Source organism: Homo sapiens, chromosome 4 (assembly GCF_000001405.40).
Source record: "Homo sapiens chromosome 4, GRCh38.p14 Primary Assembly".
Taxonomy (NCBI): Eukaryota; Metazoa; Chordata; class Mammalia; order Primates; family Hominidae; genus Homo; species Homo sapiens.
Window position 1 is genome coordinate 185,935,497 of NC_000004.12, and position 20,876 is coordinate 185,956,372.

Below are 20,876 nucleotides of genomic sequence, written 5' to 3' on the forward strand. Positions count from 1 at the left end.
CTATTCCAAGTGCTATAGCAATATTAAGACATTAGATCATTAGAACAAACTCCACCAAAAGGCCAACATTTTACCATGAGTAGCCATTGTTAGTACCCAAGAACTAGTTCTTTAGACATACCAACTTTAACTAGGGTATTGATAGGGCTAATTATCACCAATTTGAAGCTGTCCAGTTAAAACCTAGAACGGTGGGCTGTTTTTGAGATATGTATATGGGTGGAAAACATGATTTACTCTCCACAGAGACACCAATAATCAATCAGAGCCGTAGTTGGTAACACAGAGCATCATGGGAGAATGTGGAAAAGAGACACAGGCTGCCTTTGAAAATTAAGTGGGAGAGTAGTGAACAGGTATGTTTTCTTTTTCTTTGTGACATGGTCTCACTGTCACCCAGGCTGGAGTGCATTGGTATGATCTCGGCTCACTGCAGCCTCTTTCTCCCAGGCTCAAGTGATTCTCCTGCCTCAGCCTCCTGAGTAGTTGGGATTACAGGTGTGCACCACCATGCCTGGCTAAGTTTTGTGTTTTTTGTAAAGATGAGGTTTCACCATGTTGCATGTTGGACAGGCTGGTCCTGAACTCCTGAGCTCAAGTGATTAGCCCGACTCGGCCTCCCAAACTACTGAGATGACAGGCGTGAGCCATTGCACCTGGCCAACGGTAAGTTTTCAATGAGGAGACACGTGCTATTCAAACTTAGTCCCATATTTAGTTGTGCGAAGAGAAGTAAATATAAAGCCTTCACAAGAAAAGCACCAAGGCACATGGTTTATCCTGGCTCTGGTTGGCTCCAGTTTCACCCACCCTCCATCCCTGCAACAAATATTTATTGATGGCCAACTGAGAGTGGGCAGTATCCTCAGTTCCAAAACTACAAAGGCTGAATGCAGTTGCACATAGGCAATGGGTACTGAAACCATCAATTACACAAAGTTATAAAGTACGTATGGGAACTCACAAACAGGATATTTAGGAGAAGGAGGTGGTGGGAAGCTTTCAAGACAGAGAATTGAATGTTCATAAGTGTGACATATTCAGAAATTAATTTTTAAAGTAAATTTCCTCAAATCTAATCTAAATTTTAATTCTGAATTCTTCAAGCTGACCCTTGCCACCATTGATAATAGTGTGATAACCATAAATCCCATATTTCTGATCATTCCCAGTTTTGAGTATTCTGTCTCTTTGTCAAGTCACATGTCCCAATTTTAGGGCTAGAAAACATGGTCATCACGTTGATTAGAAATGCAATTTACAGAAGATTTCCCTTTCCGTCTGCTTCTAAGACTATGCAAGAGTCTCCTTTCACCTCCCACACTCAGCTTCTGCTCTCACTACCAACAGCACAGCATGCACGGCACGGCACAGCATGGCACGGGCTGTCAGTTTCACTGAAGGTGGAAATTCCTCAAGAATGCCTAATTAGAATGTTTTAAAAAATAAATTCAGCTTCTTAGACAGTAAGAGGACTACCTTCTAAAAGATTACATAGCACAGTTATTTTAATTCCAAATGTAATTGAAATTCCACTCAGAATTGTCTTCTTGAATGACAAGTCATTCTATTTCAACAATGACATTGACTGATTTTAATTATGACATGGTTTCCTGTCAGCCTGGTGCTTGAACCCGATTTTAAGGAAAACTCATTCATCTCGTGCTTCTGCCAGTGAGTGAGTGAGTGAGTGAGTGAGTGAGTGCTTCACGAGAACTGGAGGAGCATGTTTCCTACGCTTTGAGAAATACATGTGACCTTTTGAAAAGTATATCAAGTTCTGCATTGTACTAGCAGTCTCACCGTGGGTGAGGCAATTTCTTGAAACTTCTGTTTATTTACTCTTACAGTGAGATAGGTTCAATTTTTCTTAACAGAGCTATTGTTAGGGTGAAATGAAGTAGCTGCTTAGCCATGTATCTGAATCCAAGATTTTTGCTCTTTATTGACACCATAATGCCTCAATCTTAAGGTTGATGGGCACTAAAGTGCTTAACTTCAGAAGTGGAGAACTCCATATTTCCTGAGCCCAGGAACAAATGCACTAAATCCTTCGTCAAAAAGTACCTCTAGGTCTGTCCTCCTGCCCCAAAGTGATGAAAGATGCATTTAGCAGGGCTCTACATCCTTGGTTCAGTCCTCCTACAGGCTCCTGATTCGAAAGCTCACCAAGTGATGCCTCATTAAAACCACTTTATTTTAGCTGGAAGTGGAGGGGAGGGGGAAATGAGGAATGAGGAAGCAATGAACACAGAATGATGTGAAGAGGGATGCTGCCTCAGCAGGGACCGGCATCCAGCCCCACAGGTGCTGTGCTGTGGAGTCGGCTCCAGCATCTACTCCTTTCTGTGCTATGTAAGTGGAGAATTACACATCTCTTCAGAGTTGGAATATCTTCTCCTCTCTGCCCCTTCAAACTCAGTGTCATCTTTGGAAATAGCAGCTCACACCACTACTGCTGTTCAGAGACTGTCAGTGGCTGCCTGCCTCCTAGGTTTTAGAGAAATCATTCTTTTTTTTTTTTTTTTTTTGAGATGGGGTCTTGCTCTGTCACCCAGGCTGGAGTGCAGTGGCATGATCTCGGCCCACTGCAACCCCCACCTCCCGGTTCAAGTGATTCTCCTGTGAGTAGCTGGGATTACAGGCACCTGCCACCATGTCCAGCTAATTTTTGTATTTTTTGTAGCGATGAGGCTTCACCAGGTTGGCCAGGCTAGTCTCGAACTTCGGACCTCAGGTCATCCACCCGCCTCGGCCTCCCAAAGTGCTGAGATTACAGGCGTGAGCCACCACGCCTGACCAAGAAATTATTCTTAACATTTTGTAGTTCAGATATTCTTTTGATAATCTAGGGGAACCTAGGATCCTCTCACCCAGAAAAATGTAGACACATACACACACACACACACACACACACACACACACACACACACACCCTTTTATTCTAGTTCCATGCTCTAAAACTTGTCCACAAACTCCAGACTGAACAACTTGCTCAGGAAGATCAGAACTCAAACTTCTTATCCTGCGTGTCAAAGCTCTCTGTAATCTCACCATTCATCACCCAAGACTTGACCATTTCTGAGATCCCAGTGGAAAGCATCCACTCTGATAATTATCTCTGATCATTCCAGGCAACTTATCCTAGTATCTACACTCTGGTTACGTTCCACCTCCCCGAGAACCCCAGTGCACCAACCCTATGAGTTTCCCGCCTGTCAGCACCACTCCCCACAACTGCTTTCCCCCCCAGCAGCCTGGAGGCCAGAACCCACCAGTGCAAATGTCCCTTCATATTCTGCCTTCATCCCCTGCTCCTCTATTCTCCCCCTGTACACATGCCTGGCAATACACCAGTCTGTTTACATTCAACCCTCTAACTACATTATGTCCGCTTCAAAGCACGAAAGCAACAAAGAAAAAGGATGCAAATGTGCTGATGGGTCTCACTTTTAAAGACATCACTACGCGGCTCAATCAGTATTTAAAACTGCCTGGTGATTCTAACAGATTTCCCGATAAATACTCCTGTTCTCTCTCCTAAAGGAATACTCAGTGCCTTTTTATCTTTTGTTCAGCCCTTTAACCTCTGCGCCCTGGCCATATGTTGATGGTCTTGCTATATACTTTAAGAAAATAGAAGTATTCTGACAAAAATTACTTTATTTTTCACCCTGAATGCACCATTTTACCTAAATTTCTCTCCTCTCTCATTTTATTGAACTGTCCATCCTTCTCTCATCAGACAAACTGACCCATTGTCAACAGTGTATTTTACCTCTTCCATTCCTCAACAAATTCTTCCGTGCAATTGTTCCTAATATCCCACTGGATCATCAGTTTCCTTCTCTTCACTGGAATAGTTCCATCAGCATTCAAATATGCTGTAATACTTCCACCTTAACCAAAAAACAGTGTGTTCTTTGGCCCACGTCCCTCTCTGACTGCTGCTCTATTTCTCCCTTCTCCTTCCCAGGAACAGTTCTCCAAAGAGGTATCTGCACTTCCTGTCTCAACTTTCTTTTTTTTTTGAGATGGAGTTGCACTCTTGTTGCCCAGGCTGGAGTGCGATGGCGCGACCTCGGCTCACCGCAACCTCTGCCTCCCAGGTTCAAGCGATTCTCCTGCCTCAGCCTCCCTAGTAGCTGGGATTACAGGCACGTGCCACCACGCCTGGCTAATTTTGTATTTTTAGTAGACAGGGTTTCTCCTAAAGTTGGTCAGGCTGGTCTCGAACTCCCAACCTCACGTGATCTGCCCGCCTCGGCCTCCCAAAGTGCTGGGATTACAGGCATGAGCTACCACGCCTGGCCTGTCTCAACTTTCTTAACGCCCATCCACTGTCTCCAGAATCAACTCCAGAAAGCCCTTCATCCCCATGCCCCCAGTGAAACCATTCTCATCATAGTCACCAACACTCTCCACCTTGTCAAATCCAGATGTCTGTCCAGAGTTCTCTTCTTACTTGACCTCTTGGTAGCATTTGACCCAGATGAGCCGCACCCTCTTGAAGCGTTTCTTTGCTTTTCTTCTAAGACGCCACACAGCCTCTGGGCTGACCTCCTACATCAGTGGCCATTTCTGTTTTCTCTGTCTCTTCAGAGAATGTAGGCATGCTTCAGAACTGGTCCATGGCCTTCCCACCTCACCCTCCTCTCTCCTTTGGTGATCTCAGAAGGTTCCATGGCTTAAGTACTGTCTAAACACTGATAGCTCCCAAACATATATCTCCAGGACCAATCTTTCACTTGATCTCCAAACTAGTATGGTCAACAGCCCAGTTACCACTTGCAGGATCCCAAATGGCACACGGCCTAGACAGAATTACTGATTTATTAAACTCCTTCCTCATAAATGTGCTTTTCCCTTTTTACCCTTATTCCCCATACATGAAGAACCATTCTACATATTCTTCAACCATCATACATTGCAATCCTGTTGCAGCTCACCACCTCCCCAGCCATGACCTCTGACTGCTCCTGTCCAAGCCCCCCTCATCTCTCACTGGACTTGCATTCCGCTCCACACCAGCTTTCCTGCTTTGTCATTCTCTGGCTTAATATCCTCTAATAGCTTCTCAGCATATAAAGAATAAAATCCAAACTGATTGCCAGGGTCTTCACTGCCCTTCAGACTCTGACCCCACCTACTTCTTTGACATAATCTTACTCTTCTCCACCCAAGCTGGCTACACCAACTTGTTCCAGCCTAGGTACTTTTATCTTTGCTGTTGCCTCTACAGAGCAGTCTCCCCCAGGTTTTCTCATCGCTGCAAAATGTGTGCAAAACATCATTCAGGAGTCTGTTCCTGTTTTTCTTTGAGGAGTCCTATATTGCCCTATCTAAAAATATTGCACCCTTTATTCTCTAACCCAGTGGTTTTCAGTCAGGAGAGACTTTTGCCTCCCTAGGGGCATTTAGCAATGGATAGAGACATTTTTGGTGGTCGTTACTGGGAGTTGCTACTGGCATCTAGTGAGTAGAGGCTAGGGATGCTACAATGCACTGGACAGCTGCCCACATAAAAGAATTATCAGGGTCCCACAAATGTCAGTAGGATTAAGGTTGAAAAACCATGCCATTCGTCTACTTCGTTATTATCACAGCACTTATCTGCATCATCATAATAATAATTAACATGTATTTCAGACTTACCACGTGCCGGACACCATTCTAAAGTTTTTACATTTATTTCCTCTTTAATCCTCATGTTCCAACCATATAAAATGGGTCCTATTATTACACAGATGGGACATTAAGGCAGGAAAAGGTTAACTGTCTTGCTCCAGATCAAGTTGGAGAGCTAGAATTTGAATGTAGATGGTCTGGCTCTAAAGCCTTTACCTTTAACCATTGCATTAGAGGGCCATGAGGTTACATTTTTTTCCTATATTATCTGTCTTTTCCCACTAATATACTATCTCCATGAGAACATGGAAATAATATACTTGTTTATCTCTGGATCCTCTCTGTCTAGACATATAGGAGGCCCTCAAAAATCTTGAACGAATGAAGAGTTCTGCATACCTTTCCAGCATTGCTTCTTATAATCTCACACAAAGCTGACTTCCCGGGAAATGACCTGCTTTCTATCCTGGAGACATTCCAGTTTCTTGCTTTCCCTCTGATTCAGCCCACACTCTCTCAGGTCCAGTTTTTCCTCCTCACTCCTGTACTCAACACGAGTATGATTGCACCCATTTCTCCAGCCCCGCCTCCAATCTTGCATAACACATTTCAGACCCATAGATCCACAGAGTCATTTTGGTGGAAAGAACGTTAGAGATTACAGCTTTCAAATTATTTATTTTACATGTAAGAAAAGTAAGACTTGGATGGCTGGGCACGGTGGCTCACACCTGTAATCTCAGTACTTTGGGAGGCCAAGGTGGGCAGTTTGTCTGAGGTGAGGAGATCGAGACCAGCCTGGCCAATGTGGTGAAACCCCATCTCTACTAAAAATACAAAAATTTGCCAGGTGTGGTTGTGCACGCCTGTAATTCCAGCTACTCGGGAGTCTGAGGCAGGAGAATCACTTGAACCCAGGAGGCAGAGGTTGCAGTGAGCCAAGATCATGCCACTGCACTCCAGCTGGGGTGACAGAGCCAGATTCCATTTAAAACAAAAAACAAAAAACTAAGACTTGGAGAAACTAAGCAAGATACTGATGAAAATTCCAGTTTTTCTTCCTTCTGTTTGGAATTTTCATGTAACTCTGAAATGCTTCTGGGAAGAAAGAATTTGTAGAAGCTCTTAGGGCAACAGGCCCCCCATAGCCCACTTAGGAAAGCACTTTTTGCAGTCCTCAAATCGAACAGGACCTTCATTTAGATGACTACATTTCCCTAGGTTTATATTTTCTTTTTTTTTTTGAGTTGGAACCTCACTTTGTCACTCAGTCTGGAGTGCAGTGGTGTGATCTTGGCTCACTGCAACCTCTGCCTCCCGGGTTCGAGTGATTCTCCTGCCTCAGCCTCCTGAGTAGCTGGGATTACAGGTGCCCACCACCATGCCCAGCTGACTTTTGTATTTTTAGTAGAGCTGGGGTTTCACCATGTTGGTCAGGCTGGTCTTGAACTCCTGACCTCGTGATCCACCCGCCTCGGCCTCCCAAAGTGCTGGGATTATAGGCATGAGCCACCGCGCATGGCCCCATATTTTCTTTACTCTTGCCCCTCAGTACAATGTGTCTCCATGCTCTTATTAGAACAATTTCCACCTTTGCCCCTTATTTTATCTCCACCCCAAAATCAGAACTATGGTTCTTGCCTTTAAGGAGTTTACAATGTAGATAGGGAAAGAGATCATGTATGTCTTATATTAGATCTTCCATTACTTTGCAGACTGGTTCATAATCTGATAGAATTACTGGAAAAACAAGTGACAGCTTTCTCTCCAACTTGTTCTACTTGTTTCTGAGAGTGTGACTGAAAAAAATGTGGTTTACACCCAGATGATGAACTGACAGTTGTATATTTAATAATTAGGATATGAGAAAATAAATTCCACAGATAATCTGTTTGATATCATCTATATTTTCTTTAATGAAGGTGGTTTAATGCAACAATAATTTTTAGAAGGCTTATGACATTTTTCCTGATGAAACAGATTTGGATTAATGGTGCTTCTAGGAGAAATAATTTCCTCATAGATCACGTTCAAACACATTCAGAAAAGAGATATTCAGGAAAGATCCCTTGGGTGGCTTAAGGCCATTTCAACCTACGAACCTAGTAGTTATGGACAAATAGGATATTCCACATAGTAACAAATTACCACCCCTCAGATTACCTAATGATTGTAAAAGGGAAAACTTTTCTTTTTGGAAAGATCTGGCAGTCACCACCTTAACCAAAAAATCAACTGCAGCATCACTGAATTCTGATGTCATGAAATTGTGTGCCTCCAGATGTGATGGCATAGAAACATCATCTACGACATATTCTTGCCAAAAACATACAAATGGTACCTACTCAAGCTGTAAGAAGTAATTTCTAGTTAATAGGAACCAAAGGGAACATCATTACAATAAAGCAATCACACAAATCCTCACTGTGGGACGTTTTACAAGACAATTGGCCTGTTCTCTTCACAAAGTCAATGTCACAGGGAAAAATAGCAGGGGGAATATATTAGATTAATAGAGATGAAATTCCTGAGCCTCCAGTATAACCTGGTTGAAGAACAAAAGAATAAAATAATTTAAAAAGAACAATTGAAAAAGACTAAAAGTGAAATGGACGTTAGGTTATATTAGAAAACTATTAATTTTCTTAGTTGTATTATAAAATTGAGGCCATGTAATACAATGCCCTTACTCTTGGGGTCTCCTGTTTCTAGGAGTGAAGTACGTCATGATGCCTACAATTTATTTTCAAATGCTTCTTCAAAACACATGCCCGTGAGGACCTAGCAGTACAGCAACATGTTAATAATTAAATCCAGCTAGTGGGTATTTGATGTACTATTCTTTCAATCATTCTGTTTGTTTAAATGTTGAAGGTAAAAATGTTGAAACGAAGCTAATGGTAGTGCTTCAGAAAGTTACTTAGCAAAGCTATGTCCTACTTACATTTGTCATTCTGCACTCCTTATTAGGAAACTATTTTATTAAATCTCCTGTAATATAACTGATCATATATGCTTCACACAGGAAAGCCCTCATACGGAAAGCCAAACGCTTATATAGCCAACTACTTTTTCTTAAATCTTCTGCAAATTCTAAGTAAGTGACTGGCAAGAAATGCTTTCGGGGCCCCAAATAGAGATGAGAAGCACCCACTTAAAGCCACTGTGTGGCCACTAGCCTGGGCCTAGTTTCCAAATTGACACTTTCATTGACATCAATGTGATGTCAGCCACATCACTTAAATACTTACATAGATTGAGTCTCAATGTCAGTTCATTTCCAGAGATCAGAACTGTGTAACATGTCAGTTCTAACAAATGAGACCAGATATGAATTTACACAATATAGTCAATCTAGAGACTATAAAGACACAACACATCTAAAATTTGGATCTGAAATGCATAGTGCAGAAATCACACAGCCCTTTTGATGCATTGACACTTTTCAAACTACAGAGAAGCTGAAATGTGGCACTAAGTCATTATAAATATTTAACAGGAAAATGCTGGCATAACTAAAAGAGTTCAGGAACATACATATATCCATGAAGCTTCATTGCAGATACTCATGAGACAAGCGCCTCAAGTGACTTTACATCCTGGAAAATGAAGACAAGTATAAAGAAATATGATTCTGTGAAAGTCATTTGTAGGACACTCCATATTACGGTGTGTCCCACAATCATAAAACAATGAGCTTTTCTCTGCAATCCCATGGCACAGGTAAGTGCAAGATTAGCATCGCTACCAACAGCCGAAATATTTGGGGTCAAACCCTGTTACAAAACCACTCTGTCACTGAATTTCTCCAATGCAGCAGCCAACAATTTATAGGAAAAAGAACACTAATATCAAGCCTTTAAAGGGTGCTCCAAACATAAAATCATGAGTGCTCTAGGAACTTTTGGAGCTTATGAATCACACTATGCAACGTGCTCATATATGCCAATGCCCGCCACGTTTTACTCAAGTTGGTGTTGATTTGGAGATGGGCCCTGAACATTAAGTAGAATATAGACCATCAGCAGTTACTAAGCTAAATGCATTGTGATAGCTTGGAAGTTTAGTCCACCTATTTGATTCTGTCAACTTGTTGATACAGTAACCATTGCAATGACAAGTTGACCATTTTGAGAAGTTTATGAACCCCATCAGCTCTCTCCTGAGAGAATAATGTTGAATAAATGAAGAAACCAAACCAAATATTTGGACAGCATTATCAACAAATAAAAGGTATAACATATGACTTAGCAAATTTTTTAGCTATGTCTTTAAATTTTTGACTGAGGTTAGGTCAAGGGTAGGCACATTTAATAGGCAACATTTCATAACAAGAATGAAAAATGATGATGATTCAAATCCCAAGTTATTTCCCGATCATTGCACAATTTTGGTAAACCTTTAGGAAGAAAATTTGATTTCATCTACAGATCCTCTTCTAGTGTTCCACTGATTATATTACTATAGGAAATATATGTTCTTTGCCCTTTTCATTTTAGAAATTCTTGTTTTTGTCATTATTCACTCAACAAACATTTCTCGAGAATCAGGCAAACATAAATTAAAAATGGTTGACATGTTAGAAACACAAACAGGTGCTGAATGAGCAGAGAGGACAGATATCTGATCCATGCTGGCTAAGTGTGTGAGCAGGGGCTTGCTGTGAGATGTGCCATGTGCCCGGAAATGGAGGGCTTCGGGCCGGAGTAAGAAGTGACTGATGGGATGGAGGGGTAGGGAATGATGTTCCAGGAAGAAGCAGCAGCAGTCAGAAAGGCAAGGGTGGTGGAAAAGAACCATGTGTTTGGCAGCTTCATGGCAATGGGGCAGAGGCTGTTGGGAGCTCGCATGTTGACAGATGGTCAAGACTTTGTAATCCATGAGCAAAGCTGGACCTTCTTCTGAGAATAAAGGGCTATCTTTAAAAAGTTTAAGAAAGTTACTAACATGAGGAAGTGATCCTTTTGGGGTTGATAGGTGTGATGATTGGGTTTCTATGCATGTGTGTGACATGTGTCTCCCTCAAAGCTTGTTACCACATCCGTACAGCACCCATAGGATGTTGGGGGGGTGGGTGGGGAAGGAAAAACAAGAAGAAAAGGAAAAAGAGAACATGAGTAGATGTGTGTTTTCGAAAGTCAACTCTGGCAAGTATGTAGAAGTTGGAGGAGGCAGGCCTAGAAACCTATCACAAGGTTATTGCCATAATTGGAACAAAAAAATGTGAGTGTGAGCGAAGGCAATGGTGAGAATAGAAGAAACAGGGATGGGTTGGAAAGAGCAACAAGCCTACAAATATGTTTTGTAAGTTTAGCATCTGTAAGAACCTGAAAATGGATGAAGCTTAAAACTTGAGATGAGAGTTAGACATAGATATGAATTCCAGAAAAATCAATATATGACATTTCTTGCCCATTTACATCTCCAAATATCTTTTCTTTGTAGTGTTCTAATCAAAACATCAGCAAAGGAAATACAAAGCAAAGTAAACAAACAAACATCCTTCCATCTCCTCATCCACCCTGCTTCTCCTCTAAATGATGAACTCATTCTTTTCAAAATATATTAATGGAATAAATTCAACACTTAATGTACATCTGAACCTAATTTTGTAAATAAGACATATTTTACAGCACATATCTTTCAATTAAAGTGCCAAATAAGACAATAAAACCTTCGGTTGGCTTTTTATTTCATTGAACAGATAAAAATACTTAATTAAATAAAATGCAAAATGATGACCTGTCAGATTGCTCCCTGACTCCAGAAATCATCTTTCATCCCTGACTATGTGTGCCAGGGTCATACAACCAAACCTCTCCCTGGGGTGTACCCCAACAGATGGGTACCTGGCCCATGACTTAGTGTTCTCACCTCCTCCCATCAATTTCTACTCCATTCCCCAACAATTACATATCCAGGGTAAAATCGGATCAAGGAAAAAGGAGGATTTGTGTCTCCGCAGTTCATGGCCCTGGCATTTATAGCTTTCCCCCTTTCAGTTTTCTTGAATTCCTTCTCCATCCTCTCCCTACCCCTTATCCAGGAAAAGTGCAACCTGTGCATGTGGTTGGTCTTCAGTGTCCACAGCAATCTCGCTGCCACAGTAATGGCACTCTTATGGGATCTGTACTATAGTCAGGGAAATCTCACAATCCTCAATGAGTTTAGCAGGGAACGGAAGCCTGTTTCTTCTCATATTTTAATTTCCTGGGCTTTGCATTTCTTGATTTTCCTCTAGTTTCAAACTTTGGAGGTGATGTGAGGTCTTTTCTTCCTAGGTTAATTCACTTTTTTTTCTAGCCCAAACCATCTCCTACAGTATCTTTAGAGGGACAGAACTGCAGAGTCTTAAAGGGCAAAAGTGAGGCAAACCTGGGTTCCAACCCAACCTTCCAATTGCCAGCTCTGTGGTCTTACACTAGTCTGGCTACAGTTCGGTCATCTCACCTACACAATAGGGATTACAAAATCTCTTTTTTCTTGGGTTTTTTTTTTCTTTTTGAGATGGAGTTTCGCTCTTGTTGCCCAGGCTGGAGTGCAATGGTGTGGTCTAGCTTACTGCAACCTCCGCCTCCTGGGCTCAAGTGATTCTCCTGTCTCAGCCTTCCAAGTAGCTGGAATTACAGGTGCATGTCACCACACCCAGGTAATTTTTGTATTTTTAGCAGAGACGAGGTTTCACCAGGTTGGCCAGGCTGGTCTCGAACTCCTGACCTCAGGTGATCTGCCTGCCTCAGCCTCTCAAAGTGCTGGGATTACAGGCGTGAGCCACTACGCCCCGCCCTCTTGAGATTTTTTAAAGGAAGTTCAAATGAGTCAATTCATGTAATGTGCTTAGCATGGAACCCGGCACTAAGGAAGTGCTAATCAAATATATTATGAATTCTTAAAGAGGCCGGTTCTTTTTTTAATGTATTTTTGTTGTTGTTGTTGTTTTCCATCTAGGCTACTCTGGCTCGTTTCTGTAGGAAGTGAAGCCCATTCTTAGTGCATCCTAGACTCTTCCTTCAGGAATCCTCTGATGCAGCTTCTCTCTGTTCTTAGTTTCCTATCAGGCCATCTAGCTTACCTGAATCTCTCCAATCTGCAGCAGACCATCCTGGTTTAAGCTTGGTTTACCTTGTTTTTATTTATTTGTTTACATAGCATCTTTTCAGGCATTTCTGGGCTTTGTTATAATTCCCTTCCTAAAATATTGGCCATCTCAGGAAACAGTTTCACCTCCCCTAATATACATTAGCCCTCCCAATTTTCTTCTATCCATCTATCTTTCTGTTCATTCATCCATTCAAGCTATGATAATCACTGGTTTCCACACTCCAGTAGTTCATAAATGTAATGGGGAAGACAGTACATTGTGATTAGGAGAGTAATGAATTTCAATTTTTTTTTTTTTTTTTTTTTTTTTGAGATAGAGTCTTGCTCCATTGCCCAGGCTGGAGTGCAGTGGCACAGTCTTGGCTTACTGCAACCTCTGCCTCCTGGGTTCAAGCAATTCTCCTGCCTCAGCCTCCCAAGTAGCTGGGATTACAGGTGTCCGCCACCACTCCTGGCTAATTTTTGTATTTTTAGTAGAGACAGGGTTTCATCATGTTGGCCAGACTGGTCTTGAACTCCTGAACTCAGGTGATCCACCCGCCTCGGCCTCCCAAAGTGCTGGGATTACAAGTGTGAGCCACCACGCCAGGCTATGAATTTCAAAATATTAAATTGTTATTTTTTTCTTTTGTACTTCATTTTAATTAAAAACATTACATTTCTTTTTCTCGTAAGGTGAAAGGTGATCAATATTAAATTAGATAAAATGTTTAAAACACCTAAAAGAGCTCCTGGCACATAGAAAGGATTATCAAATGTTTGAAGAGTTATTAAAAGGTATAAAGAATTATCACCGAGAAGAAACAGGTGCTCTTTATCTATGTGTTCAATGATGCACAAGAAATTTCCAGGAAACAGGAGGGGGGTTGGGGAGAGATGCTGTATTCCATACTGAGGAAACAGCACATATAATGGCAAACATTGAGGAATGCAGACTAAACCACATGTGATGTTTGAGAACTCCAAGTACGGCTAGAGAATAAAATTGCAGGAGGAAGCAGTGGGCTGGGAGGAGCAGGAGGCTGCTATGGTAGGCAGGTGTCAGAGAATGAAAGTCTCTTTGGTGGTACACCCAGTATTGAATCTGGACTGGACCCGAGCAGAAATAATTGTTTCCAACTTTGTCAGTGTCTACTCCGAAACAGATGGCATCTTAGATACCTGACATTCATTATCCTATTTAAACCTCAAGTAAAATGCAACATAGATAGATATCATCCCACTTCATTCACATAAAAATCAAGTCATCAACTACCAAAATGGTGCAGTCGGGGTTTTAACTAAAGTCCACGTGATTGCAACCACACTTTGGAAGAGATTAGACTAAGGGGGCGGGGGGCAGAGTGAGGAGTGGCCCTCTGACATGTTTTAAGGGAAGGAATAATGTTAAAAAATTGAATTTTAACAATCATAACTGTGCAGCAGTGTGGATAATAGATGAAAGAAGGAAGAGTCTTACAAGCAGAAAAGCCCATTAAAACGTAAAGCAGTTGTCTGGTGAGAGATGCAGGAGTCTAAACAAACACAGTGTGAAATTCAAAGAAAATGCTGAATCTGAGACCTATTTGGGAACTATAACTGACAACAATAGCATCCTCACAATGCTCACTGACTTTTCATCATGCGAAACTCAAGTAATCAAGGGTCCAGCAGCTCACCATAATAACTGGATGCCAAGAAGAGGGGAAGAGAAGAACAAAGAGTTTTTGCTACAACTGGTAACTGATCCTATCAAGAATATTTTGAGGCCAGACACAGTGGCTCACGGCCATAATCCCAGCACTTTGGGAGGCCAAGGCGGGCGGATCATGAGGTCAGGAGTTCGAAACCAGCCTGGCCACCATGGTGAAACCCCATCTCTACTAAAAATACAAAAATTAGCTGGGCATGGTGACAGGCACCTGTAATCCCAGTTACTAGAAAGGCTGAGGCAGGAGAATCGTTTGAACCCAGGAGGCGGAGGTTGCAGCGAGCCGAGATTGTGCCATTGCACTCCACCCTGGGCAACGAGCAAGACTGTCTCAAAAAAAAAAAAAGAATACTTTGAGAATGAATTTGTAAAGTAACATTGGGCTACAGCTCAACACTGAATCAATTTTTGATAGTGAATTAGGAAGTAATCCCAGACCTGAAGAACATAATGGAATTAGAGGCAGATGAAGTATAAAATCTCAGAGAGGCTGTAGTCTAGGGAGAAGATCATGGTTTGGCCACAGTTAATGGAAAAAGAGACCAGAGTGGGTTAGAGAACCTCTATATTCTGTGCAGGTTGAGGGTTTGGAGGCAATTTCCAGAAGTTACCTCATAGAGATTCTTTATTCAAATATTTCCCTAGAATTCAGGTGTGCCTGACGGTGTGGCTCAGGAGTGATGAATGCCCCTTCCAGGACTTCAGCAATGATTTTTTAAAATGCATATTTGGAGCCTTAACACAAGACCAGGCTGTGAACAATATTTTAATTTTTAATACACATTTGGACTTGTTGAGAGTCTCTGTTTTAATAATGTTGCCCTTTTTTCCTCTAAGAACAGGCTGAATATTCCTTAGAGAGACACTTTGGAAATCGCACTATGGCCTGCACGGCGGATATCTGCTCTTTTGGGGTTGAGGGAAGGAGCTTGAATGTCTCTAAGAGCAGAATAGGAAGGGAATAGGGTTCCCAGATGGTTCCAGAGGATGCTGAACGTTCACTGAATGAACCCCTATAAGTATTTCCCCTGTGCTGCTGGTAGGAAAAATACCGATAGAGTTTAAAGCAAGGAAGGATGGATGGAATGTAAGATGGATTGATTCACAGGTCAGAAACCAGATGCTACTGCAAGTGATCCCTCAATGACATCATACTCAACAAAACAAGACAAATGTTCTTGGTACCCTTCCAGCGCTTCATTGTTTTTCATTGCCTGCCTTAACAGGATTTAGAATCACACGGTCCCAGCTGTTAACAGGTATGTACCATCACGCTACCACTTCAGGCACATCAGGGAAAACATACACTTGGCTTCCTTTCTCAGTCCATACAAGCATTTTGAACAGACATGAGAAGAGTTTAAGAAATTGTGGAGGGCGACACAGGACCATGCCTCCCATGTCTGACAAATGGCTGTGTTCTCTGATGACTAGCGTGGGATCCATCACCCTGCCTCCTAATCCAGGGCCTTCCTCCAGCCCAGCTCACTGCCCGGGTACTGCTGCCCTGTCATCTCTGCCCTTCATCCCTCTTAGAAGCCAATCCCCACTTCCCAGTAGGTGGCAGATACTTCTGGTGTCCTTTGTACCTTTCTCAACAGCCCTCCCTGACATTGCACATTCAGGATTAGGCTCCTGCACTAATAGATGACAGTAACCTGTTATTTTCTCAGTGTGGATCTGTCAGACTTGCTTGGGCATAAACACAGTTCCCTGGTATCAGCAGTACCATAAGGTGCCAGGATCCACTGACCTAAGTTTGCTGAGAGATGCTGAACAAAGGTAAATTTTCCTAATTTGCAGATTGTATTGTGAAGTCAAATTGAGACTATTAATTTGGCCACCTTTCCCATCGGGTAACTTAGGCAGCTTGGTAGCTCAGTGTGCATGCATCAGTGAGCTTCTTGGGAAATAAATCGGGTTAGTGAGTTGAACAAATACTTATGCAATATTTTCTATGTGACAGGCATTTTGCTAGCCAGGCAATCATAAATTAGAAGCCCAACTCTATTCTTTTTTTGGAAGAATTCCAATCTGGTAAAGGAAACAAACAACCCCAAAATTGTAAAAAGATGGCAGAATATCAAAAGTGGTAGAAGAAAGTTAAAATAGCTTCTTTTTTTTTTTTTTGATAGAGTCTCACTCTGTCGCCAGGCTGGAGTGCAGTGGCAAGATCTCGGCTCACTGCAACCTTCACCTCCCAGGTTGAAGCCATCCTCCTGCCTCAGCCTCCCAAGTAGCTGGGATCACAGGCGTGTGCCACCACTTCTGGCTAATTTTTGTTGTATTTTTAGTAGAGACAGGGTTTCACCATGTTGGCCAGGCTGGTCTCGAACTCCTGACCTCAAGAAATCCACCAGCCTCGGCCTCCCAAAGTGCTAGGATTACAGGTGTGAGCCACCAAGCCTGGCAAAATAGCTTTTTATAGTGGCCCTTCACCTCCAGGTGTTTGCATTTCAGTGGGATTAAAGGTGGTACTGAGGCCTGGGCCAGTAGGTAGAGGTCACCTGAGAACACCGGGCCCTCCCATTGCCCATGCCTGGGCAATACCCTGAGTATTTGGTCCTTGAGTAGCATGGAATCCTCTCTAGATTTAATCACTACTAAGCCCTAAAGGTGGGAGTATATGGGATTCATTTCGTCTTTGAGAAAATCAAGGCATGCAGTGCAGTTCCCTTGAATAGGGAGAGTCTGGAGGGTTGCACAAATCTGAAAATTATTCCTGCTCAGAGGCTGTATCGTTCTTTGTTGAGATCAAAGTCCATCATGTATGCCGACAGCGTTAATTTTGAAGAAAGCCATTCCTCACATTATCTCCTCACATTTTGCCTCTTCCTGGCAAAAAATAAAAAATGTTGTTCTGTCCCTTAGATTTGATTTATTTTTCCTCTAGTTTATTCCCCTTCAAACCAATAAACAAATTCTTCCTACAAACAGCATGAGTCACCACTCGTAGCAAACATCCTCACAGGTGGCCGAGAAAAAGAAAATGTGTGTGTGTCACATTCCCATTAAGGTTACAGCCTGAGCTTCGAACTTCATTTTGGCCCACAGCCCACTTGTAGGTCTCTCTGTGGGCATTTATTAAGTTATGTTGGTCTCTTCAAATGTTTCCCAGGCCGGGCGCGGTGGCTCACGCCTGTAATCCCAGCACTGCAGGAGGCTGAGGCGGGTGGATCACCTGAGGTCAGGAGTTCAAGACCAGCCTGGCCAACATAGTGAAACCCCGTCTCTACTAAAAATACAAAAATCAGCCAGGTGCAGGGGCGCACGCCTGAATCCCAGCTACTAGGGAGGCTGATGCAGGAGAATTGCTTGAACCCGGGAGGTGGAGTTTGCAGTGAGCCGAGATTGCGCCACCGCACTCCAGCCTGGGTGACAGAATGAGACTCTGTCTCAAAAAACACAAACAATAATAATCATAATAATATGTTTCCCAGACTCCATGCTCTCCAGTCAGCCCTTCCTCTCTCACTGGCATCATTTTGGTCTGGTATTTCCACCCTTCCTTTGGAAAAATCTCTCTTCTACTCAGCATTCCCCAACAGCCTCCGTGCTCAGTCCCACCAGGACACCAAGGTGGGACCCTGTGTTAAAGTGTACTTCCCAAGGCTATTTGCATTTGCATAGGCTTCAGAGCATTAAATCCAAGGCAATACTCTCAAAAGGTAGAAGTCTAGATGTCAGCTGAAAGATGAAAGAGACTGGCGAGGGTGAGGACAGAGATGAAGACGCTAATAAGGGCCTTTCTGTTGCTGGCTCCGTAGCCAGGCCCCTCTTCTCAGGAGTAATCATGTCAACTCCATCATCCCCAGTGAGGTGGGAATCGATTTTATCACACCTTTATAATTACACCCTTCTTATATTTACATGAACTGCTTATAATTATGTGGATTTCTTGCAACTCTCATAAGCTGCCCAAGTAGGGCCAATCTCCCCGGTGTGGGCAGGGAGTAGGCGCAGAGCTGGGCTTTCCATCACACCTGTGTGTGTCCAAGGCCAACCTTGGTCCATTATCTCATGCCTGGAGGACATCCCGGAGGGAGACGTCCTTTCTTTTGCTTTAATCCATTCCTTAAGTTAACTCATCTCTTGCTGTCCTGAATGTTTTATTGATGCTAACTTTATTTTTAAAGATTATAATCTGCCTGTTCTTTTTATTCTTTCTTTACTAGAAATAGATTTTATATATCTCAGGTATAAGGACACTTCTTATCATCCAAGATACCCTCCTTCTGTATTCTCTTCTGCAAAATAATACCCCCTCTATAGTCCCGTTGCCATTCATCAAGGTTGCTAATGGACTCCCTGTGACCATCTGATTAATGGGCTAATACACCTTCTCAAAAGCAATGCCTTTTAAACATAGAAATAAGTAAGACAATAATCTCACATACATTTAAAAAATCTTATTTTTATCTTACAGTTGATTTTTAAATCTTAAAACTTTGAATTTTAATTTTGTATTATTTTGATAGTGAATTATATTACACATAAATGCTTTTTAAATATTAGATGTACATTTCCATTTTACTTGCTTATATTTTATAAATAAAATTATGTACATTGTAAATATTTTGAGAAACAAAATCACAAAGTGTATCAAGCTAGCATAATTGATGTTGTCACAGAGGCGAAGTGTATTTTCACTCACCAGACCATAATTAGTAAATAAATGAATACTGAATGAATAAACGAAGCGTCTCTTATTGTTTGGCACTCATTATTTTCAAATGTTGGCTATTAAAGATAGATAATGCTAGGCTGGGTGCAGTGGCTCACACCTGTAATCCCAGCACTTTGGGAGGCTGAGGCAGGCGGATCACGAGGTCAGGAGTTCGAGACAAGACTGGTCAACATGGCAAAACCCCAACTCTACTAAAAGTACAAAAATTAGCAGGATGTGGAGGCAGGTGCCTGTAATCCCAGCTACTCAGGAGGCTGAGGCAGGAGAATTGCTTGAACCAGATAAGTGGCAGTGAGCAGAGACCTTGCCATTGCATTCCAGCCTGGCCAACATGAGTAAAACTCCATCTCAAAAACAAACAAAGAAACAAAAAAACAGTACCACCGGGCTAGCAATTTAGAAACTATAATCAATGCCTTAATATGTCCCTTCTTTTAGAAAAATAACTACACAAAGCATCTGCATGACTTATAAGAGCTTCCACAAATATACCATAAAATGTTAGCCCTGATAATTTGCTGTGACATTTAACATTTCAATGGGCCATGTTTCTTAGAGATCACTAGGAAATGAAGCAGAGCACTCTTTGCATTCATTTCTGCTCCCCGAGAAAACACTTTCTCTCCTTCACTCAAGCCACCATTCATAACCCAGTGATGTGTGATGTCACTTGTCCCACAGAGGATAATGAACAACTTCCCGGGAAATATTTCCATATGACTAACAATTTAATGTCTTAGACAGAAACTGAATCTTGCCTACTGTATAGAAGAAACAACTGTGTTAGTTCAACTGCATGGTACATGATGAAAGTCCCTGTTATAGCTATTCCTTCTAACAGATAATTGATGGGGCCAAGAGACAAAAGAAGGAACTCACTCTCAGAAATAAACGCTCCACAAAGCAATCTCATGCCTCACCTAATGCAATATGTTTCTCATGGGTCTTTTGTTACTCTAACATATTAAATTATCCTTCCAATTACCTTGGCAACTGAAACAAGAGCGCCTAACACGCTGATGACTTTCGGACGAGCACACCAGCTGTCAGTTATAAATGATAATTAAGGCATCTTAATTATTAAGCACAGTGAAAATATGCAGTGTTCATTTTTTATAAAACTTGTGTCCTAAGGTAGAAGAATCCTCATACCAACCAAATGCTCTTTCTCTACCTTTGATCAGCAATTTGGCCTTTTTTCTCTCTGAGGCTGATAAATTGCAGCAACCTTTGAGATACTAGACCCTCCACCCCCACCCCAGGTCTTCCCCCAGGTCTCCTTAGTTATAAAGGTAGCAGAATGTGATGGTTGAAAGCTGCATTTGTAACCAGCTTACCTTCGCAACAATAGCAAGAGTAACAAAGAATCCATCCTAATAAAAGCTCTGTGCACAGTCAGCTTAAGCAACGTAAAGTGTTCCTTTATTCTGCTTAGTAGCTTCTCCCCCAGAGGTTAACCATTTTAAAGCTGGCACTCAGCCTGAGAACAGGAACAAAGCATTACTAGAAAGCAGGGATCTTCCTCCAGGATCAGCATCTCTGCTTTCCGTAATTCTTAAGAAATATAGAAACTCAATGAAAAGGAAGTGATACCTTTGGATGGGCACATTCCAGCACAGGAAAATCGCTGTCTTGTCGGCTGCTGTGCAGAATGAGTTGCTTGGGCAGGTATTCCTCTATTCTCAGCTCCCGGGTCTGCCTTGTAGCCGCAGCCAGCCTAGGGAGCATTTACGGCATGTACGTGGTGTTCATCCACAATAAAAGGAGACT

The 20,876-nt window shown here is 42.2% G+C and overlaps 1 protein-coding gene and 1 non-coding gene across 9 annotated transcripts in view; one reads left to right on the forward strand and one right to left on the reverse strand.

Moving 5' to 3' along the window:
* SORBS2 (sorbin and SH3 domain containing 2) overlaps window positions 1–20,876 on the reverse strand; it is a 370,850-nt gene extending 349,974 nt beyond the window's left edge. For all 8 annotated transcript variants that reach the window (NM_001394255.1, NM_001394267.1, NM_001394264.1 and 5 more), the window contains exon 1: window positions 20,700–20,876. The gene's annotated coding sequence lies outside the window, so the exon portion shown is untranslated. The remainder of the gene's footprint in view (window positions 1–20,699) is intronic.
* On the forward strand, window positions 10,587–10,690 carry LOC124900909 (small nucleolar RNA U13). Its single transcript, XR_007058551.1, has one exon. It is a non-coding gene; the product is annotated as a small nucleolar RNA U13 (small nucleolar RNA).